Source organism: Homo sapiens, chromosome 17, assembly GCF_000001405.40.
Source record: "Homo sapiens chromosome 17, GRCh38.p14 Primary Assembly".
Taxonomy (NCBI): Eukaryota; Metazoa; Chordata; class Mammalia; order Primates; family Hominidae; genus Homo; species Homo sapiens.
The window spans coordinates 64,472,338-64,498,013 of record NC_000017.11 but is presented as its reverse complement, the minus strand read 5'-3'; the positions used below and the strand labels follow the sequence as shown (position 1 = coordinate 64,498,013).

The 25,676-nt window shown below is 41.7% G+C and overlaps 2 protein-coding genes and 1 pseudogene across 11 annotated transcripts in view, besides 5 other annotated features; 1 reads left to right on the top strand and 2 right to left on the bottom strand.

The window, feature by feature from the left end:
- The window catches only part of MILR1 (mast cell immunoglobulin like receptor 1), a 48,242-nt gene continuing 23,223 nt past the window's right edge, over nt 658-25,676 (bottom strand). Inside the window, exons 10-11 of one of the 5 annotated variants that reach the window (XR_002957990.2) lie at nt 5,667-5,729; nt 658-1,693 (exon numbers count right to left, since the gene is read on the bottom strand). The gene's annotated coding sequence lies outside the window, so the exon portion shown is untranslated. Of the gene's footprint in view, nt 1,694-2,673; nt 3,312-5,666; nt 5,730-24,007; nt 24,610-25,676 lie in introns of those variants that run through there. The other 4 variants (XR_002957989.2, XM_024450708.2, XM_047435791.1 and 1 more) reach the window with 4 other exon arrangements.
- Nucleotides 683-822: an enhancer, noted in NCBI's record as "active region_12594". NCBI's record gives its function as "activates an Ori minimal core promoter by ATAC-STARR-seq in GM12878 lymphoblastoid cells {active_cell/tissue: GM12878}" and the evidence as "EXISTENCE:reporter gene assay evidence [ECO:0000049][PMID:35858748]".
- Nucleotides 924-1,783: an enhancer, noted in NCBI's record as "H3K27ac-H3K4me1 hESC enhancer chr17:62492349-62493208 (GRCh37/hg19 assembly coordinates)". NCBI's record gives its function as "activates a minimal SCP1, AML or CMV promoter by ChIP-STARR-seq in naive H9 embryonic stem cells {active_cell/tissue: H9 hESC(naive)}" and the evidence as "EXISTENCE:reporter gene assay evidence [ECO:0000049][PMID:30033119]".
- POLG2 (DNA polymerase gamma 2, accessory subunit) lies at nt 960-20,229 on the top strand. 6 transcript variants are annotated; one of them, XR_007065259.1, is made up of 8 exons: nt 960-1,607; nt 4,993-5,119; nt 5,242-5,347; nt 7,045-7,218; nt 12,146-12,286; nt 15,015-15,095; nt 16,568-16,768; nt 17,625-17,728. XR_007065259.1 is itself a non-coding variant. In NM_007215.4 (8 exons), the coding sequence occupies exons 1-8, from the start codon at nt 1,046-1,048 to the stop codon at nt 20,189-20,191; spliced, it is 1,458 nt and encodes a 485-aa protein (NP_009146.2). In that variant the 5' UTR covers nt 960-1,045; the 3' UTR covers nt 20,192-20,229. The 6 variants fall into 6 exon arrangements, 5 of the variants coding, with proteins under 5 accessions (NP_009146.2, XP_047291178.1, XP_047291179.1 ...); NM_007215.4 differs by lacking the exon at nt 16,568-16,768 and adding an exon at nt 20,026-20,229 and having other exon boundaries at nt 17,625-17,725; XM_047435222.1 differs by lacking the exons at nt 16,568-16,768; nt 17,625-17,728 and adding an exon at nt 20,055-20,229.
- Nucleotides 1,203-1,272: an enhancer, noted in NCBI's record as "active region_12593". NCBI's record gives its function as "activates an Ori minimal core promoter by ATAC-STARR-seq in GM12878 lymphoblastoid cells {active_cell/tissue: GM12878}" and the evidence as "EXISTENCE:reporter gene assay evidence [ECO:0000049][PMID:35858748]".
- Nucleotides 6,088-6,496, bottom strand: ATP5MFP4 (ATP synthase membrane subunit f pseudogene 4; annotated as a pseudogene).
- Nucleotides 7,858-8,032: a silencer, noted in NCBI's record as "fragment chr17:62486099-62486273 (GRCh37/hg19 assembly coordinates)". NCBI's record gives its function as "represses an EF-1alpha promoter that drives an FKBP-Casp9 reporter gene in an ReSE screen in HepG2 liver carcinoma cells {active_cell/tissue: HepG2}" and the evidence as "EXISTENCE:reporter gene assay evidence [ECO:0000049][PMID:32094911]".
- Nucleotides 24,324-24,824: an enhancer, noted in NCBI's record as "H3K4me1 hESC enhancer chr17:62469307-62469807 (GRCh37/hg19 assembly coordinates)". NCBI's record gives its function as "activates a minimal SCP1, AML or CMV promoter by ChIP-STARR-seq in primed H9 embryonic stem cells {active_cell/tissue: H9 hESC(primed)}" and the evidence as "EXISTENCE:reporter gene assay evidence [ECO:0000049][PMID:30033119]".

The window sequence follows — 25,676 nt, the reverse complement described above, 5'->3', positions numbered from 1 at the left end:
ATCAGGTAGTAGTTTGGTAGTCTCACAGTGAAATGTAGATTGTTCCTTTTTCCCTGAACCTCTTTAAAGGTTTTCGTAACTGAGGCTGGTATAAGAAATCATGGACTTTGGAATCAAACTTCCTCAGTCTGGGTATACCACTTTTCCACTTTCTGGGTAGGTCTTAAGGTCTCGACCTATTTAAATAGAAACTGCAAAATCAGAAACCTGCAATTTAATCATGAGTCTCTTAATAATAACAGTCACAAGTCTCATTGTTTTGATGAACCCATAGAAGGGGCCCCTGGAAGAAATTGCACGTACGTGGTTTTCTCTGACACCAGGAGGGTTTAAGACATGTCAGGGCCCCTTGGTTTATTTCTAGTGCATTCCCAGGTGAGGCAGATGCTGCTGGCTGGGGACTGCCCTTTGGAAGCCACTGCAATATTTAAAGTGACCATACCACTACCCTAGTCACGAAGCCTATCGCCCCCCTCCCCGGAAGCTTAAGCGTCAAGACAACGGCTCTGGGGTTAGGCCTAGGCCACCTGGCGGCAGCATTTGCCTAGTTAAGAAGGCCTGGGCTTACAAATCACCGTAAAGGACTAAAACTGTTTAAAGGGAAACCAAATGCCAAATTTAGTCCAAGTGCTTGATTGAGGTGTATATAGAAGGTGATTTGGATAATACTGAAGTATTTTAATTTTCTGGACTGCAAAACAGTGGCAGAAGGAAGTGACTCAAGTGGCTACACCACGGTTATAAATAGGTGGGAATAACCTTTACTGGTGCTTACGAGGAAAGAAAAAAGTCAATCTGAAGGGAGGGGCGCGACGCGAACGGCAAGCTAGCAGAGAACCATCCGAGCCGGCGTCCGCCATGGTGGGCGGGGGACGGCTGCGGCCGGAACGCAGACATGCGCTTCCGGGGTGGGGCCTGCCGCCCGCAAGCACGCTCACCTCCGTTGCGCCTGCGCCGTGGCCTCTCCGGATTCTGTTAACGGTAGTGGTGGCTTGTTGGGATCCGTTGAGTGATGGGAGAGTGTGCTCTTTAACTTCGGAGAGAGATGCGCTCTCGTGTAGCCGTCAGGGCCTGCCATAAGGTCTGCAGGTGCCTGTTGTCTGGGTTTGGGGGTCGAGTAGATGCGGGGCAGCCGGAGCTGTTGACGGAAAGGAGTAGCCCCAAAGGAGGGCATGTGAAGTCGCACGCGGAGCTCGAGGGGAACGGCGAGCACCCAGAAGCCCCCGGGTCTGGAGAGGGAAGCGAGGCGCTGTTAGAGATCTGTCAGAGAAGGCATTTCCTAAGTGGAAGCAAGCAGCAGCTTAGCCGGGATTCTCTTCTGAGTGGGTGCCACCCCGGCTTCGGACCCTTGGGCGTAGAGTTGCGGAAGAACCTGGCCGCAGAATGGTGGACCTCGGTGGTGGTGTTCAGGGAGCAGGTATTCCCGGTGGACGCCCTCCACCACAAACCAGGCCCTTTGCTACCCGGGGACAGTGCCTTCAGGTTAGTTTCTGCAGAAACTCTACGCGAAATCTTGCAAGACAAAGAGCTGAGTAAGGAACAGCTAGTAGCATTTCTTGAGAACGTATTAAAAACTTCTGGGAAACTACGGGAGAACCTTCTTCACGGTATGCTTCACGATTTCATGCTTCAAAACAGGTGTCGGGTGGAAAGGCGAGGCAGTCTTGCTGGATCTTGGGGATTGCAACTGGCCCTGTATTCCCATGCAAGGAAGTTAGTTAGTTCTCATCTTTTTGAAGTAGTCGGATATATTAACAGTGCTCTACCCTGGAGAAAACTGGTCCATGGAATCATTGCTGTTCCTTAAACAATCTGTCCGAAGGACCTGGGAACGCTCTCAATTTCACGGGGCAACTTCTGAACACAGTGCTGTCATTTAGTGCAATGTAGTCTAAGTGCATAAGGAACTACACAGACATTTTGAACTTTTCTTAGATTTATTCTAAGTAAAAATGTTGAAATTATAATTCTGAAACTATTTCATGTATATCATAGGATAAATCAAGGCCAGGCGCAGTGGCTCACGCCTGTAATCCCAGCATTTTGCAAGGCAGAGGCGGGTGGATCACCTGAGGTCAGGAGTTCGAGACTAGCCTGGCCAACATGGTGAAACCCCGTCTCTACTAAAAAGACAAAAATTAGCCGGCCGTGACGGCGAGCGCCTGTAATCCCAGCTACTTGGGAGGCTGAGGCAGGAGAATCGCTTGAACCCAGGAGGCAGAGGTTGCAGTGAGCCGAGATCACGCCACTGCACTCCAGCTTGGGTGACAAGAGCAAAACTCCGTCTTAAAAAAAAAAAATTCAAATAGTTGGGTTAGTTGTTATTAGGAACCAAGATATTCATTGTAAAAGAAGAGATAATATGTAAAAGAAGGTACGTATAAACTAATGTTAAATATGGATTGGTAAATTAAATATGAATTGGTAAATTAAAATTGAATATGGGTCTCACTCTGTCACCCAGACTCGAGTGCAGTGGTGTGATCATGGCTCACTGCAGCCTCGACCTCGGGCTCAAGTGAACCTCCCACCTCAGCCTCCCAAGTAGCTGGACTACAGGCACATGCCACCACACCCAGCTAATTTTTGTGTTTTTTGTAGAGATGAGGTTTTGCCATGTTGTCCAGGCTGGTCTTGAACTCCTGAGCTTAAGCAATCCGCCCATCTTGGCCCCCCAAAGTGCTGGGATTACAGGTGTGAGCCACAGTGCCCAGCCTCATGATTTTTAAAAATATATTTCCTAACTTTCTTCGTTTAAAGTTCCTAGAAGCAATGACCCTCAGTAGCAATGAGCACACCTAGTGCCCAGATCCTGGTTCCTTTTTTTTTTTTTTTTGAGACAGAGTCTCGCTCTGCCGCCCAGGCTGGAGTGCAGTGGCACAATCTCGGCTCACTGCAAGCTCCATCTCCCAGGTTCACGCCATTCTCCTGCCTCAGCCTCCCGAGTAGCTGGGACTAGACTACAGGCACTTGCCACCACGCCTGGCTAATTTTTTGTATTTTTAGTAGAGACGGGGTTTCACCTTGTTAGCCAGGATGGTCTCTATCTCCTGACCTTGTGATCCGCCCGCCTCGGCCTCCCAAAGTGCTGGGATTACAGGCGTGAGCCACTGCGCCCGGCCTCCAGATCTTGGTTTCTAAGATGAACCAGTACTGGGAGAAATGGCTGATTCCGGGTCTGGGGTTAGGGAAAGTACAAGGTGAGTTTGAAACACTTTATGGTGCTAAAAAGCAAAGAATTGCTTGAAGACTAATGGGTCATATAAAAAGGTCACAGATGCTGGCTTGAGGAGGGTTGTCACTGGCCACATCTAGGACAAATTGAACATTAAGATACATATTAATGGTAATGGATCATAACACATTGACTAAAATCTAAGAGTCAATAGTATTAATCAAAAACAAATAATTGACCCTAGAGGTCGGGGGCGGGGGGAAGAGGTAGAGAAAGCTTATGTTTTTACAGAAGCTATGGAATAAATGTAGAAGGAAAGATACATTAGAAAATTCACCATTTCATGATATTGCAAACCCCGATATCATTGATTCAAGCAACAGTCATCAATGGATTCTAAAATACTGGGTGAAATACTGTTGGGGAGCAGGATATTATTGGGGAGTGGATATTTACTACCTTAACCAAGTAATCAAATTTGGTGTCTTCAGTAGTGGAATAATTTGATAACATGTTCCTCATGTTATGATGCAATAAGATACACACATCTACTATGTAGTATTTTGCTAAAAATGATTAGCCGAAATTAAATCATAAGGAAACAATCAGACAAATCCCAAATGTGAGACAATCTATGACTAACCTGGACTCACATCAAAAGTCAGTGTCATTAATAGCAAAATTAAGGGGGAAAGGAGGCAAGGGAAATGTTCTAGATTCAAATGGATGAAAGAAACCTACTCAGAATGCAGTACATGAATCTTAACTGGAAAGAGAACAGTAAAAGATATTTGGGGTGAAAATTGGAACAACTAAAATATCACCATATGTTAGATTATATTGTGGTATTATGGTTAACTTTTTATGGTGTTATAATGGTATATAGGAAATATTTTTATTTTTAGAAGATGTATGCGGCAGTATTTGGGAGTGAACAAGAAAAAAATGTGGCAAAATGTTGATAATTGATGAATCTAGGTAAAGGGTATACAAGTGTTCATTGTATATGGATGTTTATTATTTTTTCAACTTTCTTATAGATTTGAAAATCTTTGTCGGGCGCGGTGGCTCACGCCTGTAATCCCAGCACTTTGGGAGGCCAAGGCAGGCAGATCATGAGGTCAGGAGATCGAGACCAACCTGGCTAACACGGTGAAACCCCGTCTCTACTAAAAATACAGAAAAAATTAGCCGGGCGTGGTGGCGGGCGCCTGTAGTCCCAGCTACTCGGGAGGCTGAGGCAGGAGAATGGCATGAACCCGGGAGGCGGAGGTTGCAATGAGCCGAGACCCTGCCACTGCACTCCAGCCTGGGCGACAGAGCGAGACTCCATCTCAAAAAAAAAAGAAAATCTTCAAACTAAAAACTCAGGGTGAAACTACCTAGAATTAAGTGGTGATCTGTCTTTTTTTGTTTTTTTTTAAGACAGGGTTTCACTCTGTTGCCCAGGCTGGAGCACAGTGGCACCATCCCAGCTCACTGCAACCTTGGCCTCCCAGACTAAAGTGATCCACCTCCCAGCTTTCCAAGTAGCTGGGACTACAAGGCACACACCACCATGCCTGGCTTATTTTTGTATATTTTTAGAGATGGGGTTTTGCTGTGTTGCCCAGTCTGGTCTCAGAACTCCTGAGCTCAAGCAATCTGCCCACCTCGACCTCCCAAAGTGCTGGGATTATAGGCGTGAGCCACCAAGCTTAGCCAACATCTGTCTTTATGCTGTGTTAACGTTATTACTACTATTAATGTGTCTATTGACAAAAATGATTTGGGTTTGTGGACTAGATGTATACAATGATTGATTTATCTTTTGACAGGTGCCTTGGAACACTATGTTAATTGCCTGGATCTGGTAAACAAGAGGCTACCTTATGGCCTTGCTCAGATTGGAGTGTGTTTTCATCCTGTTTTTGACACTAAGCAGATACGAAATGGTGTTAAAAGGTATAAAAAGTGGCAAATAACTTGGCCTTGTATTTAAATAGTCAAAAACCAGTCATTTCCACTTGGGATAAATTATATAATTTTCAGATAAGCTAACTTCCTGATACGTTTTATATCTAAAGTATTGGTGAGAAGACTGAAGCTTCGTTAGTATGGTTTACTCCTCCGAGAACTTCAAACCAGTGGCTTGATTTCTGGTTACGTCATCGACTCCAGTGGTGGAGAAAGGTACTGCAATAATTACCTTTAATTTAATAGTTAATACATAAATTGTCTTAATGTGTCAGTGGTAATTCTTCTGACATACAAGAAATTATATTTGATGTATGTAGCTATTAATATATTATACAAATACAAAAACTCTTTGTAACAATTTTCATTGTTCTAGATTACAAAGTTACTTTGGTAAAAACATTTGTTGGGCTCAGATGTGTTTGTTAATTAGCCTTTCTGTGTAAGGTAAAATTCAAAGCCCTCACCTAGCATTCCTGGCTGATGTAGAGTTTGACCCTTGACCATTGTCACAGCTTCAGCTTTTGCTACCTACCTCCATGAACTTTCCATATTAGTCAAAATGGCTCTGTAATTGATGATCAAGTTTTAGTACTCACTGAAAAAAAAAGAGTTGAAGTAAGCATTTTTGTCTTGCCATGTGTTATGTTACCATTTCCCGACTCAAACATCCCCAAATACCCATTTAAACTGTATGAAATAATCACGAGTCATCAAGAACTTCGCAGAAGGGTAAGAATGAGGACTATGTGATACTTTCTTCTTTATCCCACTTTAGTCATGGTTAACTTCCCCTCTTCATTGGCCATAAAAGTCTGGATAACATCAACAGTTTTTTCTCTGTAGTTCTTTCCTACTAAAAAACAATATGTTAAGCAATATACTCAGTATTTTCACTTTTTATTTTATTTTATTTTTGTTGTCTGTTTTTGGTTTTTTTTTTGTTTTTTTTTTTTCACAAGTACCAGTCATCTTTTATTTGGAGGTTAATTCCCATTAGGATATGAAAGGATTCAGCAACAATCGAGATTGTGTTGCTTATGGAGGGGTTGCAGCCAAGAAGGTTGCTGGGGGAGTGCAGAGCATGTCTTCTTCAGTGGTACTTGCATAGCCGCTCGTGCTTGAGCTCCTTGTAGGAAAGGCAGTAGATGAAGAGCATGTACCCTGCCAGCACCATGGTAAACCCCGAGATGCTCCCCTTCTTCACGTTGATGTACTTGTTGTAGTACCAGTAGTAACCTCTTTGAAACGCTCCATCAAGGCCACTAGGGCTGAAGTCCCACATCAAGATCCAGCTTGGCAGCTCCCCTAGTTTGACCTCCAGAAGTTTCTTGTCCTTCACTGGTACAACTGACTCCATCTTGGTTTTTTTAGAGACATAGTCTCACTCTTTTGCCCGGGCTGGACTGCCGTTGCACAATCACAGCTCACTGCAACTTCTTTTATTATTTGTAGAGATGAAGTCTTGCTCTGTTACCCAGGCTGGTCTCGAAGTCCTAAGCTCAAGTGATCCCCCTGCCTCAGCCTCCCAAAGAGCTGGCATAACAGGCGTGAGCCACTGTGCCTGGCCAGTATTTTCACTTTTTAAAAATTAAATTTCAGCAACCTGTGGTCCCAGCTACTCTGAATCCTGAGGCAGGAGGATTGCTTGAGGCCAGCAGTAGGAGGCAGCAGTGAGCTATGATTGTACCTGTGACTAGCCACTGCACTCTAACCTGGGCAACAGAATGAGACACATCTCAAAAAAAAATGTAAATTAGAATAAACTTTAAAATTTGTATTCGGGACTTGACTAGTTTCGCACATTTGCTGAATAAAAAGTATCGGACAATTTAAATTCTTACAGATAATTATGGGAGTTAAATTAGTGTTTATTTAAATATGTTAAGACAAACTTAAATTTTCTTTTCCAGTTTGCCATGAGTCCATCTAACTTCAGCAGCAGTGACTGTCAGGATGAAGAAGGCCGGAAAGGAAACAAACTTTACTACAATTTTCCCTGGGGAAAGGAGTTAATAGAAACCCTGTGGAACCTAGGAGATCACGAACTTTTACACATGTATCCTGGCAATGTGTCTAAATTACATGTATGTTTTACCTGGAGCTCCTATGTATTTTTTACCCAGATTCTCTATAATCATTTCCGAACCATTTGAGAATAAGGTGCAAACGTGGTGTCTTAACACTTCATTGTGTATTTTTCAGATGCAGAGACACTCACCTACATAACTACAATCCAGTCATCAAAATCAGGAAATTAACAGTAATCCACTATTGCCACAGAGCCCTACAAATTGAACTGATTATCTCAATAATGGCATTTATAGGTCCAAGATCTTGTCTTTCATGTAGTTGTCATATGCCTTTACACTCCTTCAAATGAACAATTCCTCTTGTCTTGCGTGACCTTGACATTTTTGAAGAGTACAGTCTAGTTAATCTGTAGAATATGCCTTGGCTGGGATCTGTCTGCTGTTTCCACGTGATTTATGTATTTTTGTCGGGAGTACTACAGAAGTGGTAGTACTGAGAAGCTCTCTTCTCAGTGTGTCATATGAGGAGTGTTACTGGTGATGTTAACTTTTATCATTTAGTTAAGATGGTTTCTACTAGATTTCTCCAGTGTAAAGCTAATAAATAGTTTGTATTTATTAATTAACGGCCAGGCGCAGTGGCTCACGCCTGTAATCCCAGCACTTTGTGAGGCCGAAGTGGGAGGATCATGAGGTCAAGAGATTGAGACCATCCTGGCCAATGTGGTGAAACCCCATCTCTACTAAAAATACAAAAATTAGCTGGATGTGGTGGCTTGCCCTTATAGTCTCAGCTACTTGGGAGGCTGAGGCAGGAGAATCGCTTGAACCCGGGAGGTGGAGGTTGCGATGAGCCAAGATCGTGCCACTGCACTGCAGCCTGGCGACAGAACGAGACTCTGTCTCAAAAAAAAAAAACAAAAAAATTAACTAGTAATTAATAAGTGTTGTGGGCAGATACTTTAAGATGATGCAGACAATTTCTTTGTCACCAAATTTTGCCTTACTGGTTGCAGCATCCATTGATGATTCTTGCCCAGATCAGTTACTAATGTGAGGTTTGCCAAATGGTGATTTTTTTTTTTCTTTATTTGAGACAGGATCTCACTCTATCACTCAGGCTGAAACACAGTGGTATGGTGATAGCTCACTGCAACCTCAAACTCTTGAGCTCAAGCAATCCTGCCTCAGCCTCCCAAGTAGCTAGGACTACAAGCATGTATCACCATGCCCGACTGATGGTTTAATATTTGTAGAGACGGGGTCTAGCTTTGTTGCCCGGGCTGGTCTCGAACTCCTGGGATGAAACAATCCCCCTGCCTCAGCCTCCCAAAATGCTTGGATTATAAGAATGAGTCACCATGTTTGGCCATGTCACCAAATTTTGCCTTACTGGTTGCAGCATCCCTTGATGATTCTTGCTCAAATCAGTTACTACGATGAGGTTTGCCAATGGTGTTTTTTTCCCCTTCCCTTTTTTTTTTTTTTAAAAAAAAACAAATTCCATCATTCCTTCTAGATTTACTGGTCAGCAATATACTGTAGAGCTTTTCCTTCTCCTCCATTTTTTTTTTAAATTGGTATTTCACAGATTACTTTCTCAGGGGGTTACAGTGTGTTACTGTCATTATTTATTTTGATGGTCAAATTGTCCTAGACTTGGCCAGTGTCCTTTTGACATATTTCCATCATTGTCTTGACGAGCACTTCCTTACCTTTTGTAGCAATATATTGTTCCAGGATCATCAGTGAGCCAAGACTGTGCTGCTGCACTCCAGCCTGTGCAACAGGATGAGACCATGTCTCAAAAAAAAAAAAAAAGAAAAAGAAAAAATATATAGCAAAAACATAGGAGTTTATATATAATGAGTAGAAAGTAGATTAATTTTTATTTTTTTATTTTTTGAGACAGCATCTCACTCTGTTGCCCAGGCTGGAGTGCAGTGTCGCGATTCCCAGGTTCAAGCAGTTCTTCTGCCTCAGCCTCCTGAGTAGCTAGGACTATAGGTGTGCGCCACCACGCCCGGTTAATTTTTGTATTTTTAGTAGAGACAGGGTTTCACCATATTGACCAGGCTGGAATTTTTAAATATGAATAACTAATGAAAAACTAGAAGGCTTATTAACTGGTGAACATTTTCCTTTAACTCCACCACCATCACACTTCATTTTGGGGTACTCAGCTCTCAAATGAAACTTATTGGTTATTATCATAGTTAACGAACAGCTCAACCTTGTGACTAGGGATTTAAAGATGATTTTTGTATTGTGGCTATTAGTGTCTTATTTTGTTCTTTTTTTTCTTTTGTATGAAGAATGGGGTCTCGCTATGTTGCCCAGTCTGGTCTTGAATTCCTGGGCTCAAGCTGTTCTCCTGCCTCTGCCTTTCTGAGTGCTAAGATTACAGGTGTGAACTACCATGCCCAGATTATTTTGTTCTTTTATTGGTATCATTTTCACTAATGAAGAGTTTTCCTATTGCAGAAATTTTTCTCTTCCATGACATTGTTCCTTTTCTGTTTCCAGAGTTCACAAAATTATTTATCATTAGTTGAACATGTTATAAAATATTAAGTAGAATTTCTGTCATTTAGTATGCTTTCTTGAAATGTTTCTGAGGCCATTTCTTTCTTTTTTTAAAATTATTTAATAGAGATGGGGTCTCGCTGTGTTGCTCAGGCTGGTCTTGAACTCCTGGGCTCAAGCAATCCTCCTGCCTTAGCCTCCCAAAGTGCTGGGATTATAGGCGTAAACCACTGCACCCAGCCTCTTAGGCCATTTTGTATCTGTTTTTAGTTGATTTTATGGTTAATGTCCAAATATATTTTTTAGAGAACAGTGAAGCAGACCAATAAAGGCTGAAGAACAGTTAGGATAGAAAAGAATTTATTCTGGATAGTGTGAGAAATCAGATATTGTTGGAAGAGTTGCCACCAGATATCCTGACATTGTTGGATATCCAATTTTCAAAAAATTAGAAAACAATAAACAATCTTTTTTGTTTGTTTTAAATAGGGATGGGATCTTGCCATGTTGCCCAGGCTAGTCTCAAACTCCTGGGCTCAAGTGATCCTCCTGCCCTGGCCTCCCAAAGTGCTAGGATTACAGGAGTGAGTCACTGTGCCCAGCCTAAAGCATTCTTCATAAAGATTCAGATTTAGATTTTGTTTGATTCAAAGCGCACCACAGAATCTTTCAGTACTTGAGTTTGTCTTTTTTTTTTTTTTTTTTTTTTTGAGATGGTGTCTCACTCTGTCACCCAGGCTGGAGTATAGTGGCACAATGTCTGCTCACTGCAGCCTCCACCTCCTGGGTTCAAGTGATTCTCATGCCTCAGCCTGCTGAGTAGCTGGGATTACAAGCATGCACCACCATGCCCAGCTAATTTTTGTCTTTTTAGTAGAGGTGGGGTTTTACCATGTTGGCCAGGCTGGTCTCGAACTCCTGAACTCAAGTGATTCGTCCACCATGGCCTCCCGATGTGCTGGGATTACAGGCATGAGCCACTGCTCCCAGCCCAGTTTATCTTATTAACTATCAGTTCGACGATAACTGTGTGAAATACAACTGGTAGAATAGAGTCCCAGGTATCAGAAAGTTTACTGCCTTTGAGGGCAAATTCTTGTGAATCTTTAAAGTATCATATGCAATTCAAATAGGTTTAAAATGTCAGTACATATATGTATTAATGAAGACTGTGGTTGATCATGAATAATTAACAGAAGCTGAGGATTTAAATTTGTGGGGTTTTCTCTCTTTTTTTTTTGTTCTGTGACTCTAGCTAAAGGTGGTTATTTAAGTATTTTTAAAAATTACATGAATATCCAGGTGAACAATGATTTACAAAAAAAGAAAGATGAAAGTGGAACTGTTTTTATCCAAAACTTAAGAAATTTCTAGGATTGAAATTTTTAAGAAGTTTGAAATGATTCCTCTTCAGTTTAGAGAAGAAGTAAGTCTGTTTATCAATACTTAATTCATATCATGTACTATGTGTAGTTTGTTTTCATAATTATGGCTTTAATGCAAAAAGTAAGTTTTTGAAAGATTTCTTTTTTATGAAAATAACTTTACGTTTCAGAAAATTATACTCCAAACCCCTTTCCCTAAAGCACACCATTTTTTTCCCTAAGGCCTCTTTTGAATAATCAGCAAACAATTTTTACTTAAAAGTGTTACCTTTCGAGGTAGGGCGCAGTGGCTCACGCCTGTAATCCCAGCACTTTGGGAGGCTGAGGTGGGCTGATCACCTGAGGTGAGGAGTTTGAGAACAACCTGGCCAACATGGTGAAACCCCGTCCCTACTAAAAATAGAAAAAAATTAGCCAGACATGGTGGTGTGTGCCTGTAGTCCTAGCTACTCAGGAGACTGAGGCAAGAGAATCACTTGAACCCGGGTGGCAGAGGTTGGCAATGAGGTGAGATCATGCCATTGCACTCCAGCCTGGGTGACAGAGCGAGACTCTGTCTGTATTAAAAAAAAAAAAAGTGTTACCTTTCTGAATACTAACTCTGAGCTCGGAAGCATTAAAGAAATAGTCTGTAGGGCTATTGAAAAAATTGATGCCTAAGTCCCTCTCCAGTTGAGTTCGTTCAGAATCTCTGGGATAGAGCCCAACCAAGCACCATAGTTTTAAAATTCACATTTGGGCCTCGCTGATGAAACACTGAGCTCAGTGAGAGCAGAGAATGCATCTTTATCGTCTTCGTGGGCCCAGTGCCTACCACAGGCCTGGTACAGAGTGGGTGCTTTGTAAAATGAAACTTTACTTTTGTATTCTGATTGTGTAAGTCTAAAATATGTACTCAGGAGGCTGAGGCAGGAGAATCACTTGAACCTGGGAGGCAGAGGTTGCAGGGAGCTGAGATCATGCCACTGCACTCCAGCCTGGCCAGGTGACAGAGTGAGACTCCGTCTCAAAAACAAACAAACAAAAAAAGTTCTGTGAAATGATTATTTTTCTTCTGTTTTTCTGTGAAGGGCCGAGATGGACGAAAAAATGTGGTTCCTTGTGTTCTCTCTGTAAATGGGGACCTAGACCGAGGCATGCTGGCCTACCTCTATGATTCTTTCCAGCTGACAGAGAACTCCTTTACAAGAAAGAAAAATCTTCATAGAAAGGTGCTGTTGATATTTCAGAGATAGACTTGGGAAACTAAAAATATGGGTTTGTTTGTTCTTAATGTTAGTGTGCTCGGTTTCTAACATAAACTCTAAATAATAAATTTAGTGCATGTAGTCTAAGTATTTTTCAGTTTTTTTAGAATCTGGCCACAGGAATAAGAATCAGGTTCTCACAGAATAGAACAAGGCATCCCTAATAAGTAATCCCAAAGGCATTTCTGTTTAATTGTGAACAGACAGCTATCTCTATGACTCCTAGCCCCTGAACCTTTCCACTGTGGGCTTCCATTTGTATCAGAAGCTGAAGCATTGGTACATAGGAGGAAGAAAGACCCGGATCAGGGAGACCTGTGCTATTGACCTCTCTGCCCCAGGTGTCTGGCTTCTGGTCTTGTGCCACATGGCTGGTTCCTGGATCAGAGGAGCTAGATGTGGGCCTGGAAAGGCTGATTTTAGTGCATGAACATGCACTTGGAGCATGTTTATGGGTCAAAGAAAATCGAGAGGAGAAGTTGAAGTTATAGGAGAGAAAAGAAATGATTAATGGGGCAAGATGAAGGAAACCGGAGGGGTCAGGATGGGATCAAGAGCCCAAGTAGAAGAATGTATCTTGAAAAGGAGATATTTGAAACAGCAGGGAAGAAGAAAAAGGATAGTGAGATATAAAAAGGCTACTGGGCTTTTTGGTCTTTGAAGGACATTTTACTGATGCCCTCTATTTTCTCAGGGAGTTAGGAGGCACTATTAGTTTAAATGTGGAAGAGTGGGGGTTTAAATGGCACGAGTGGGGAATAGTCATATACCCTTTGAACATAAAAGGAAGCTGCCCCAAATCAAAAGTTTTAACAAATAATGTTGAGTGTTCAGCTGGGATTGGGAACCATGAGTTTGTAGGAAACCACTCTTCTTAGTTAAGTGATTTATTATACAGTGTTCATTTAGCCTGCTATAACCATAGAGAAGTCTGATTATAGAATTATTCTGGGGAATGGGGTTTATAAATGGTTTGTAGCTAACAAAAAAAGGAATCCTTTCTTTTTCTTACACTCCACTTCCAAACCATCAGCAAATCCTGTTTGACTCTAACTTCAAAACGTATCCTGAGTCTGACCACTTCCTAGCCTGTCTACTGCTACCACCCTGCTATAAGCCACCGCCACTCCTCCTCCCCTGATAGAGTGGCCCTGTTAAAAGGTGCATGTTGTGTTGCTCCTTTGCTCAGAACACTCCAGGAAAGCTTCTCATCTCACTCAGGAAAAACCGAAGCCCTCTTTTTGATCTGCTGTTCTCCACCTCACTCAGTCTGCTCCAGCAGCACTGACCTTGCTATTTCTAGAACATGCTGGAGATGCTGCCAGCTCAGAGCCCTGTCATTTGTATTCCCCATTGCCTAGAGTGCTCTTTCTTCATCATCCATGTCTCGTCCCCCCACCTTCTTTCGAGTGTTTGCTCAAGTGTCACCATAGGGAGAGAACCTTTTCTGACCACCTTAAAGTTGCTGAAAACCTCCCCCAGCCTGCCTCTTGCCAGCATGTTCCATCTTCTTCCTTTTTTAGCACCTACCACCTTCACATATATTATTTACTTATTTTTATTGTCTGTTTCTCCCTGCCACGAGAGACGGAGATTTTTACCCCTAGCACCTGGAACTGTTCCTGGTATCAGAGGCATTAAAATGTTTGTTGGATGGACTAATGAATGAGAAGAGAAGGCTGGGCTGAATGGCTCACGCCTATAATCCCAGCACTTTGGGAAGCCAAGGTGGGTGGATCATTCAGGTCAGGAGTTCGAGACCAGTCTGTCTGGGCAACATGGCAAAACTTCATCTCTACAAAAAAATACTAAAACTAGCTGGGCGTGGTGGCGTGCACCTGTAGTCCCTGCTACTTAGGAGGCTGAAGTGGGAGGATGGCTTGAGCCCAGAGGTGGGGGTTGCAGTGAGGCAGTGAGTGGAGCATTCTAGCCTGGGCAACAGAGCCAGACCCTTTAAAAAAAAAAAAAAAGCAAATTTCATTTAAAAATTTTTTTCATTCAAAAAAATATATATAAAAAGAGAAGAACAGTAGGTTTTGACAAGAGAGAGAAAGTTGAAATGGTAAGCCACGTGGCCCAGGCTGGTAGGGTCCAAAGTGATGCTGAAAGAAGCATTTTGACTGAGGGAGTTGTCAGAAAATGGGAGGGTCTCAAGTTAATTTGTTTTTTTTTTTTTTTGAGACAGGATCTCACTCTGTCGCCCAGACTAGAGTGCAGTGGCACGATCTTGGCTCACTGCAGCCTTGACCTCCCGGGTCAAGCATTCTTCCCACCTCAGCCGCCTGAGTAGCTGGGACTACAGGTATGCGCCATACCTAGCTAATTTTTTTGTATTTTTTTGGTAGAGAGAAGTTTTCACCGTGTTGCCCAGGCTGGTCTCAAACTCCTGAGCTCAAGGAATCCACCTGCCTCAGCCTCCCAAAGTGCTGGAATTATAGGCATGTACCACCATGCCTGGCCAAATTAATTTCTTTCTGCCAAACATCTAAGTGGAGAAATCTGGGGGGCAGCTGAATATGTTACTACATGGTGTTTTTATGACCTCAGCTAACTTCTGTTTTCACACAGAAAATTATAACTGTTAAGAAACTGTTTGTTAATACTTGTGTTATATTTAAACTTGTGTTATATTTAAACAAACTATGCTTTTTCCCCTTTCCTGTCTTCTCCCTCCCCCATTTAATTGCCTTAGGTACTTAAACTTCACCCTTGTTTAGCCCCTATTAAGGTTGCTTTGGATGTAGGAAGAGGCCCCACATTGGAACTAAGACAGGTGAGTTAAATGAGTTTAAATGTCATTTTAATTACAGATTGAGTATTATCCAAAAACGCTTTGGACCAGGACCATTTTGGATCTCGGATTTTTTTGGTATATTTGCATCTCTAATCCAAAAATCCAAAATCTTAAATGTTCTGATGAGCATTTCCTTTGAACTCAAGGTTTCAGGTTTTGGAGCATTTTGGATTTCGGATTTTCTGATTAGGGATGCTCAACCTAACCCTTACTCTAAGTAAACTTGATAGCTTGCCATTTAAAATTTTATTTTGATTCATTTGCTTTTTAAAATGTTTTAGGTCGGGCGTGGTGGCTCACGCCTGTAATCCCAGCACTTTGGGAGGCCAAAGCGGGTGGATCACGAGGTCAAGAGATCGAGACCATCCTGGCCAATATGGTGAAACCCCATCTACTAAAAATACAAAAATTAGCTGGGCGTGGTGGCACGCACCTGTAGTCCCAGATACTCAGGAGGCTAAGGCAGGAGAATCACTTGAACCTAGGAGGCAGAGGTTGCAGTGAGCTGAGATAGCACCACTGCACTCCAGCCTGGGCGACAGAGACTCCGTCTCAAAAAAAAAAAAAAAAGTTTTTAATTTGCCTGGCCAATATGGCAAAACCTGGTCTCTACTGAAAATACAAAAATTAGCCGAGCATAATGGTATGTGCCTGTAATTCCAGCTATTCAGGAGGCTAAGGCACAAGAATCACTTGAACCTGGGAGGTGGAGGTTGCAGTGAGCCGAGATCGCAGCACTGCACTCCAGCCTGGGTGACAGAGCAAGACCCTGCTTCAGAAAAAAAAAAAAAAAAAAAAAAAGCTTTAATTAAATAATGAACTGTGGGTAAGTACTGTGATTATATATAATTTTGAAGTGTGTTAAAGAAGCTGAATACAGTTCATTGGGTTTGCTGTTCATGCCCATTCATAGTTTCACTTTTTAGTGAGTAGACATAGTAATTAAAATATTTGTACACATGTTAGTGAATGTGAATTATTTCTTTCCCCTTTGAACTTTTTATTTATTTATTTATTTATTTTGAGACGGAGTCTTGCTCTGTTACCCAGGCTGGAGTGCAGTGGCACGATCTCGGCTCACTGCAACCTCTGCCTCCCAGGTTCAAGCAATTCTCCTGCCTCAGCCTCCCTAGTAGATGGGATTACAGGTACACACCGCCACACCTGGCTAATTTTTTAGTATTTTTAGTAGAGACAGGGTTTCACCATGTTGGCCAGGCTGGTCTCCAACTCCTGACCTCAAGTGATCCGCCCACCTCGGCCTCCCAACGTGCTGGGATTACAGGCGTGAGCCACCGTGCGCAGCCTTTCCCCTTTGAACTTAACACTTTTGGTAACTGACTATATTCAGATATTCTAGATCTATAATTTTATTTTGATTTTTCTAATTTGTTCTAATGATTAAATACTCTTAAGAAAGGCCATGGGGGATGGCTTTCATTTCGTTCCAGAGACTCCTTCAGCAGTCGTCATTTCTGTCTGGGTGATTGAGACCCAGCCCAGACCTGAATGCGGACACTAAAAAGATTTAAAGACTTTGAGAGTCCCCCAGCTTTCTGACCCTGGCTTTTGTGGAGAGGTCTGGGAAGATGGGAGATAGTGAGCTCAAAGAAGGAGAAGATAATGGCGTATGTCCCACATTTTCTCCCAGGGTATGGCAGCCTCCCTAATACCCTTATAAGCTAGGAAGCTCCTAGGATGCTGTAGCTCAGTCACCATTTAGTAATGTCTGGAGAGATTTGTGGTTGTCCTAAGAGTGGGAGGGTGCTGCAGGCCTCTCCTGGAGGCCAGGAATGCTGCTAAACACCCTGGGTCAGCAGTGCAAGGGTGAGGAACCCTGCTCTGGACTGTTGGTGCTAGACTGTTAAGGGGTTTTTAAATTTTGCTTTGTTTTGCTTCCCTATTGCTTGTAAAGAAAACAGTTAAGTTTACTGTGTCATTTATTCATCGTTACTTCTGTATTTCCAGTCAAGCTTTTGTCTCCAGCATTCCAGTGAAATGGGTTGATCAGTCTCTTCTTGAAACATTTTCCGGGGTTTGCTTCTGGAATACCACTCTCCTTTTTCTCATCCTTTTTCTTTCCTGGCTCTTCTGCCTCTTCCTGACTTGGTGGTATAACCTAGGGCTCAGGTCTCACCTCTCAGATGAGGGCTCTGAGTTCATACAGCCCTTTGGATCTCCTGGTTTTTTTCTGACAGAATCTGTTTTGGTTTTGTTTGTGTTTTGAATGATACTAAGGGTAATAAAAATTCTTATTTGATATACAAATTTCTCAGAAGATTGGCATTTAGTATTCAGCTTTGCTATGCTTAATTACTTCATTTTCAGAAGAAGTATACGATTTATAAAGTATATGATATGGAAGTTATAAACATTAACATCACATAATTAAAGAAACATACCCATTTTAGAGATTGAAGAGGGTGATTTGTGGCTTCACAAAAATAGAATAATCACTCTAGCTACCATTATTTCTTTCATATTTGAAGTTTTTCTATTTCTTTCTAGGTTTGTCAAGGGCTATTTAATGAGTTACTAGAAAATGGGATTTCTGTGTGGCCTGGTTATTTGGAAACTATGCAGTCCTCATTGGAACAACTTTATTCGAAGTAAGAATTGTATTTTCATTAAAGAGTGTATTTATTCAAGAGTTTTTGATTATGTTTATGAATTACAGAAACAAATCTCTTCTAAATTTATATATAAAATATAATTTTAAATTATTCCTCAGTTTCCCTTTTACAGAACTATGTGCATTTAGTTAATTGCCTCAGCAGGGAACAGTATTCAGCAAGTATGTTTGAGCACATGCTGTATGTAGTTCCAAGACTTAATGTCATGAAGTATGTATACCTCAGCTTATCCACTTATGGATGAAAGTATGTATGTAGAGAGCATGTGTTGAATCAAGACTGAAGGAATATGAGTGGAATGCCTTTCTTTGCTGGCATTGTGGTCCATTCTGAGACTGAGTGGAAGGGAATTCTATTCTGGAGGGATGGTCTGTTCTAGTCTTCTAAGGGATTGGCACCTCTGTTCACCCAATTGCTCAAGACAGAGAAACTGGCTATCATCCTTAACTCCTCCCTCTTCCTCATTCTCTACATCCAGTCTATCATCAAATGCTGTCAGCTTGCTTCCTAAATGTATCTCATCCATCTCTGTCTTCGCTGCCACTACCCAAGTTAGAGTCACCAATATCTCTTGCCTGGATTATTGAAATCATCTCCTAATTGAGCTCTCTGTGTCTAGTCTCACCCCATGCTATTTCATTAATTGTTGTTTTTAAATAATCCATTCTTGTTATTTTTTTTAAGCTTTTTGTGTTGAATATGTATCTTTTGGGTGAAAAGTTGTGAACCATTGTGTTTTGATCTTCAGTTCTCTGAACATTTGTTAAAATACACCTTCCAGGCTGGGCGCAGTGGCTCACACCTGTAATCCCAGCACTTTGGGAGGTTGAGGCGGGCAGATCACCTGAGGTCAGGAGTTCAAGACCAGCCTGGCCAACATAGCAAAACCCCGTCTCTACTAAAAATACAAAAAATTACCTGGCCATGGTGGCTTGTGCCTGTAGTCCTAGCTACTTGGGAGGCTGAGGCAGGAGAATTGCTTGAACCCAGGAGGCGGAGGTTGCAGTGAGCTGAGATCAAGCCACTGCACTCCATCCTGGGTGACAGAGCGAGACTCCTTCTCAAAAAAAAAAAAAAAAAACACCTTTCAGATGATGTCCAAAGAAAAGTAGTTTTCTATAATTAGAGCATCTAATGGTTTTATTATGTGTAAAATGAAGGGGCAGCACTTGAACTTTCTTGTCCTCTCAGGTTCTCAATTCTTATCCTTTGAGCCATGTGGACATTGTCAAGTTGCAGTTGTTCTTTATATGGTAAAGGTTTTATTGTCCCAGGATATTTTTATGAAATTATTATTAAACACGTACTATGTTTTATTCACTTTGCTATAGTGGTGAACAACACAGAAAAATGTATCATTCTTTTTTTTTAAGACAGAGTCTCGCACTGTCGCCCGGGCTGGTGCAATGGCGTGATCTCGGCTTAGTGCAACCTCTGCCTCCCGTGTTCAAGCGATTCTCCTGCCTCAGCCTCCCGAGTAGCTGGGATTACATGCGCCTGCCACCACGCCCAGCTAATTTTTTGTAGTTTTGGTAGAGATGGGGTTTCACTATGTTGGCCAGGCTGGTCTCGAACTCCTGACCTCATGATCCGCCCATCTCAGCCTCCCAAAGTGCTGGGATTACAGGCATGAGTCACCACGCCCAGCCATACTATTCTTGTTAAGCTTATATTCTAGTAGGACAAAATAGACAATAAATAAACAGAGAAATAAAAAGTTTCTGATGGAGTCCTACAAAGGAAATAAACAGTAATGAGATAGTGTGACTTGGTAAGCATACAGAAGGTCAGCCGTGCATCTATCTGTTTGGTTATTGCTGAACTAGAAGCTATAAGCTAGCTACTCAATAAAGGAAACATGATTTTGGTATAATTTGTTATACCAAATTGCATCTTTATTATAATATTGTTTATTGTAAGAGACTTCAGTCTAAAATAATTGTTCTTGGATTGCATCCAAGAACCAAAAGGCTGAGGTTATTATGCGGTTCTTCTGTGATATCACCCCAAATGATGTGTTGAGGTACCAGTGTTTATTCTCAGATTTTATTTTCTTTTATGACTTTTCAGCTCTAGCAATAAGTTAGAAACTGTCTGAAAATATTACTTTAAATACAATTCAGAAACTTTAAAAATGTTGGGTTTTTTTGGTCCACCCTTAAGCCCTGAGTCTGTGACTCTTGAGAGTGCATGAACACTGAATTACAGCTGGCAACGTGGAGGAATTTATTATTTACATTTGTGCTCATGTGTCTGTTTAACTACTTTTTTCTTAGGTATGATGAAATGAGTATTCTCTTCACAGTTTTGGTTACTGAAACTACTTTGGAGAATGGATTAATACATCTGAGAAGCAGAGACACCACAATGAAGGAAATGATGCATATATCCAAATTAAAAGACTTTTTGATTAAGTATATATCATCAGCTAAGAATGTATAGATTTTTATATTTGTATAATAAATATTCTTCTCTCCTAATTTGGTTGTCTTATGTTCACTTAGATTTATTTCTAGCCCCTTTGCACTTATAAAGTGGACATTTGTGGTGCTTGCTTTCATTCAGTGTTTATATTTTTTATGTCTTTCATTGTATCAGGAATATGTTCAGCTACAAGAAACAAAAATCTACTATACTGGATTAAGCAAATTGGGGTTTGTTTTTCTTACATACAAGAACTCTAGCGGGTAGACTGTCCAAAGCTAGTATTACTGTTTCTATAGTTAGGGACCCAGGCACTTCCCTTCTGTTCTGCCATGTTTAGTACGCTGGTGTTTATCATTGTTGCTTCGGGATCTTAGGTGGCTGCTGTATTTCCAGCCTAATTATCATTCTAGTTAGGAGAAAAGTTAAAGAGACAAGAGCTAGTCAGCCAACACTCTTCCCTTTTAAATTAGGGAAGTAAAAACTTTTCCAGACATCCCAGTCGGGAGATGTCTTTACATCTCTTTGGTCAGAACTAAATCACATGATAATTTCTAGGCAAATCACCATCCAAGGGAATGAAAATGATCTGATTTAGATCAAACGCAATTTATCCCTTGAGGCTGCAATAGTATCTTACTCTCTCAGAAATGGGCTTTGTTACCAGGAAGGAAAAGGTCTTTATGGAATCTGCCACATCTATACTGTCAGATATCAAAAATTAACCTAAAACTAAACTTTTAAAACTTAGAGTATTTACGGATTTTTGAAAAGCAACTAAAATATATGTTAGATGTCATATATTGTAGTTTGTTTCCTGTCTAATATCTATGTTTATAAGAAATCTTTTAACTTTTATGTGTTGATATGATTGTGTAAAATATCCCATTGTTACCAACTTGACAAAAATTCCAACTGATAGTGCCTGTAAAATATTTCAAAAGTTTGACTGACTTAATTGATTTTACTTGGTAGGTTTTTCTCTTTTTTTTTTTATTTTAATTTTAATTTTTTTTGTAGAGACAGGGTCTCACTATGTTGGCTAAGCTGATCTTTCACTCCGAGCCTCAAGTAGTCCTCCTGCCTTGACCTCCTAAAATGATGGGATAACAATTTTGAGCCACTGCACCTAGCCTTGTTTTGGTTATTTTATGCTTTTTTTTATTATGGAGAATTTTAAAAGCAGACATATAATTGTACTAATTCTATGTAGTGATCATCTAGCACCAACAACAATCAACCTTTGGCCAGTCCCACCTCATCCACTAATACCACCCTTCCATATTATATCAGTAATTTATTTATTTACATTTATTTATTAATTTAAGAGACAGGGTCTCACTATGTGGCCCAGGCTGGTCTCAAACTCCTAGGCTCAAGTGATCCTCCTGTCTCAGCCTCCCAAAATATGGGGATTACAGGCATGAACCACCTCACCTGGCCTCCTTGAATATTATTTCAAGGCAGATAGCAGCTACCATTTAATCTGGAAATATTTAAGGATCTTTTGTTAATAACCACACTATTATCACATTAAAAAAATAACACTACATGATATCAAGGAATTATTTACAATTTTGTTGGGTGTGATAATGGTAGTATGTTTATATTTTTCTTTTTAAAAAAATCCTTGTCTGACAGATACATACATTTATGGTAATTGAGACTTGCTTTATAATTCTCCTGTTTAAAACAAACTTTTTTAAGTGGTGGGAGATGAAATAAGAATAGCACTGAGTTGGCCAGTGGCTGACGCTTGTAATCCCAACCCTTTGGGAGGCTGAGGCAGGTGGATTACCTGCGGTCAGGAGTTTGAGACCAGCCTGGCCAACATGGTGAAACTACTAAAAATACAAAAAATTAGCTGGGCGTGGTGGTGGGCGCCTGTAATCCCAGCTACTTGGGAGGCTGAGGCAGGAGAATCGCTTGAACCCAGGAGGCAGAGGTTGCAGTGAGCCAAGATCGCGCCATTGTACTCCAGCCTGGGTGACACAGTGAGACGCTGTCTCAAAAAAAAAAAAAAAAAAAAAAAGGAAGTGGTAGTAGTGTCTGTTTGTTTCTTTTTTGGGGTGGCCAGCAACCATTGATTAATACCTCAAGTGGTGAGTTCATTAAAGCTTGCAAAATGGTGATATTCTATCTTCCTTCTTTGTTGGCTAGAGTACTTTTTTTGTTGTTTTTTTTTTTTTTTGAGTTGGAGTTTCACTCTTGTTGCCCAGGCTGGAGTACAGTGGCGCAAACTCAGCTCACTGCAACCTCCGCCTCCGAGGTTCAAGTGATTCTCCTGCTTCAGCCTTTCCAAGTAGCTGGGATTACAGGCATGCGCCACCATGCCCTGCTAATTTTGTATTTTTAGTAGAGATGGGGTTTCTCCATGTTGGTCAGGCTGGTCTTGAACTCCCGACCTCAGGTGATCCGCCCGCCTCGGCCTCCCAAAGTGCTGGGATTACAGGCATGAGCCACCGCACCCGGCCGTTTGCTAGAGTACTTCTATGAAGAAAAGCTTCTCACCGAGTATTTGCTTACCTAGAGGTATGGGAAAGGTAGGATAAATGCTGGATTATTTAAAGTAATTATTCCTTTTGATGCTCAAATTGTCCCATCTTTGGCCAATGGGAACCTCAAGTTGGCCTCAAGTCTTTTTTTTTTTTTTTCTTGAGACAGTCTTGCTCTGTCACACAGTCTGGAGTGCAGTGGTGCGATCTTGGCCTACTGCAACCTCTGCCTCCCGGGTTAAAGCCTCCCTGCCTCAGCCTCCTGAGTAGCTGGGATTACAGGCGCCTGCTACCACACGTGGTTAATTTTTTGTATTTTTAGTAAAGTTTCACCATATTGGCCAGGCTGGTCTTGAACTCCTGACCTCAGGTGATCTGCCCACCTCAGCCTCCCAAAGTGTTGGAATTACAAGTGTGAGCCACTGTGCCTGGCCAGCCTCAAGTCTTTTTGACACACCTTACTAGTCTTTGATAATTTCCTTCTAATAACTACTGTAGAGATTGTATATTCCAAGGAGCTCTGGGGTTTTTTTTATTGGAAAAAAGTGGACACCATACTTTGGATACTAGGAATGCTCATTGATAGAAGGCAGTCTTTGTTTCTAGGCCTTTCCAGTATTAAGAGCTAGCAAATATAGGAGAGTGTGTATTTCCTCCCTGAAAAAAAAATTGGCCAGATGTGGTGGCTCATACCTGTAATCCCAATACTTTGGGAGGCTGAGACAGGAGGATCACTTGAGTCCTGGAGTTCGAGACCAGCCTAGGCAACATAGACCACATCTCTAAAAAAAAAAGCTTTGAAAATTAGCCAGTCATAGTGGCTCAGGCCTATAGTCCCAGCTACTTGGGAAGCTGATGGGTGTGGACGGCTTGAGCCCGGGGAGTCAAAGCCGCAGGGAGCTTGGATCACACCACTGTACTCCTGCCTGGGCAACAGAGCAAGACCCTGTCTCAAAAAAAATAAAAAATAAGGCCGGGCACGGTGGCTCACGCCTGTAATCCCAGCACTTTGGGAGACTGAGGTGGGTGGATCATTTGAGGTCAAGAGTTCAAGATCAGCCTGGCCAACACGGTGAAACCCCGTTTCTTCTACAAATACAAAAATTAACTGGGCATGGTGGCAGGCGCCTGTAATCCCAGCTACTTGGGAGTTTGAAGCAGGAGAATTGCTTGGACCTGGGAGGCAGAGATTGCAGTGAGCCAAGATCATGCCACTGCACTCCAGCCTGGGCAACAGGGTGAGACTCCATCTCCAAAATAATAATAATAATAACAAATGAAAAATAAATTATGAGTTCACACCAATATTTTCCACTCAAATTCAGGACTGCAGAGGGTCTGGGGTTTGTATGTCTGTTTTAATCAGTTTTATTAAGATACAATTTACATACAATAAATTTACCTCTTTTAAATGTACAAATTGATGAGTATTGACAAATGTATAACCATCTCCACAAAGGCAATGTAGAAAATTTTCATCACCCCTTAAAGTCCTTTTACACTTTTTTTTGAGACTGCCTCAGTAGTAACCACTGCTAAATTTATCAGAGAACTGCACACCTGGATTGTATTTTGACAGAACTTCCTTCCAACCCAATTGCTTTTAATAATTTTTTTATGATAAATTTTTACCCAAAATGTTATAGAATTTATTTACAAAGAAATTTCGTAAGTTGTATTTCTCCTACTGGTGTGGTATTATGCTAAGGAAACAGGTCTGGAGTCATGAAATCCTTAGGTGTCTAATTTTTCTAACCTGTAAGTTTCTGTGCTACTGCAGATCTCAGTTACTGTCTCTGGTGGTGGGTGTGTGCTGCGGAAGAGTCAGAGGTAAGGCACTAGTCCATTTCCTTCCAGGACAGTTGAGAAAGAAGGAAATGAACTCCAGTCATCACAAATCCACTGTTGATGATTCCTCTGGCCAGGTCTCCCCTTTAAATCCTTAGGGAGAAGCAACACTGAGAAAAGATAACTTCTTCTTTTTTTTTTTTTTTTGAGACGGAGCCTTCCTCTGTCGCCCAGGCTGGAGTGCAGTGGCGCGATCTGGGCTCACTGCAAGCTCCGCCTCCCGGGTTCACACAATTCTTCTGCCTCAGCCTCCCGAGTAGCTGGGACTACAGGTGCCCGCCACCTCGCCCGGCCAATGTTTTTGAATTTTTTAGTAGAGACGGGGTTTCATCGTGTTAGCCAGGATGGTCTTGATCTCCTGACCTTGTGATCCACCCGCCTCGGCCTCCCAAAGTGCTGGGATTACAGGCGTGAGCCACCACGCCCGGCCAAAAGACAACTTCTTTAGTTGTAATCCCCCATCCCTGAGAGTAGAAGAGGCAGAAGGCCAAAAAGTCGACCACACATGTTTGCAGCTCCTCATCCCAGCAAGATTTCTGTGCTGCCCTGGTGTTACCCTGCAGATGCCACCTTTTCCCAGTTTTCTACTGGATTATTGGTCTTTCTCTTAATGATTTGTAAAAGCTCATAATATTATGAAACTTCATACAATATCTGAGACCTGGGCTCAAAATACAGTCATGCTTCACCTAACAGTGGAGGTCACTGTTTGAACAGCATAGAGTGTACTCACACAAACCTAGATGGCATAGCCTGCTACACGCCTAGGGTGTGTGGGATAGTCTATTCTTCCTAGGGATAAACCTGTACAGCATGCTACTGAACACTAGGCAATTGTAGCACAATGGTAAGTATTTGTGTATCTAAATGTGTCTAAACATAGAAAAGGTACAGTAAAAACACGGTATTATAGTTTTTTGGGACCCCATTTTATATTTGGTCCATGAATGACTGAAATGTTATTATGCAACACATCATGGTGTTTTCTCCCTAGTTATTCTTTTTTTTTTTTTTTTTTTTTTTTTTTTTTTTGAGATGGAGTCTTGCTCTGTCGCCCAGGCTGGAATGCAGTGGCGCGATCTTGGCTCACTGCAACCTCCACCTCCCAGGTTCAAGCAATTCTCATGCCTCAGCCTCCCCAGTAGCAGGGACTACAGGTA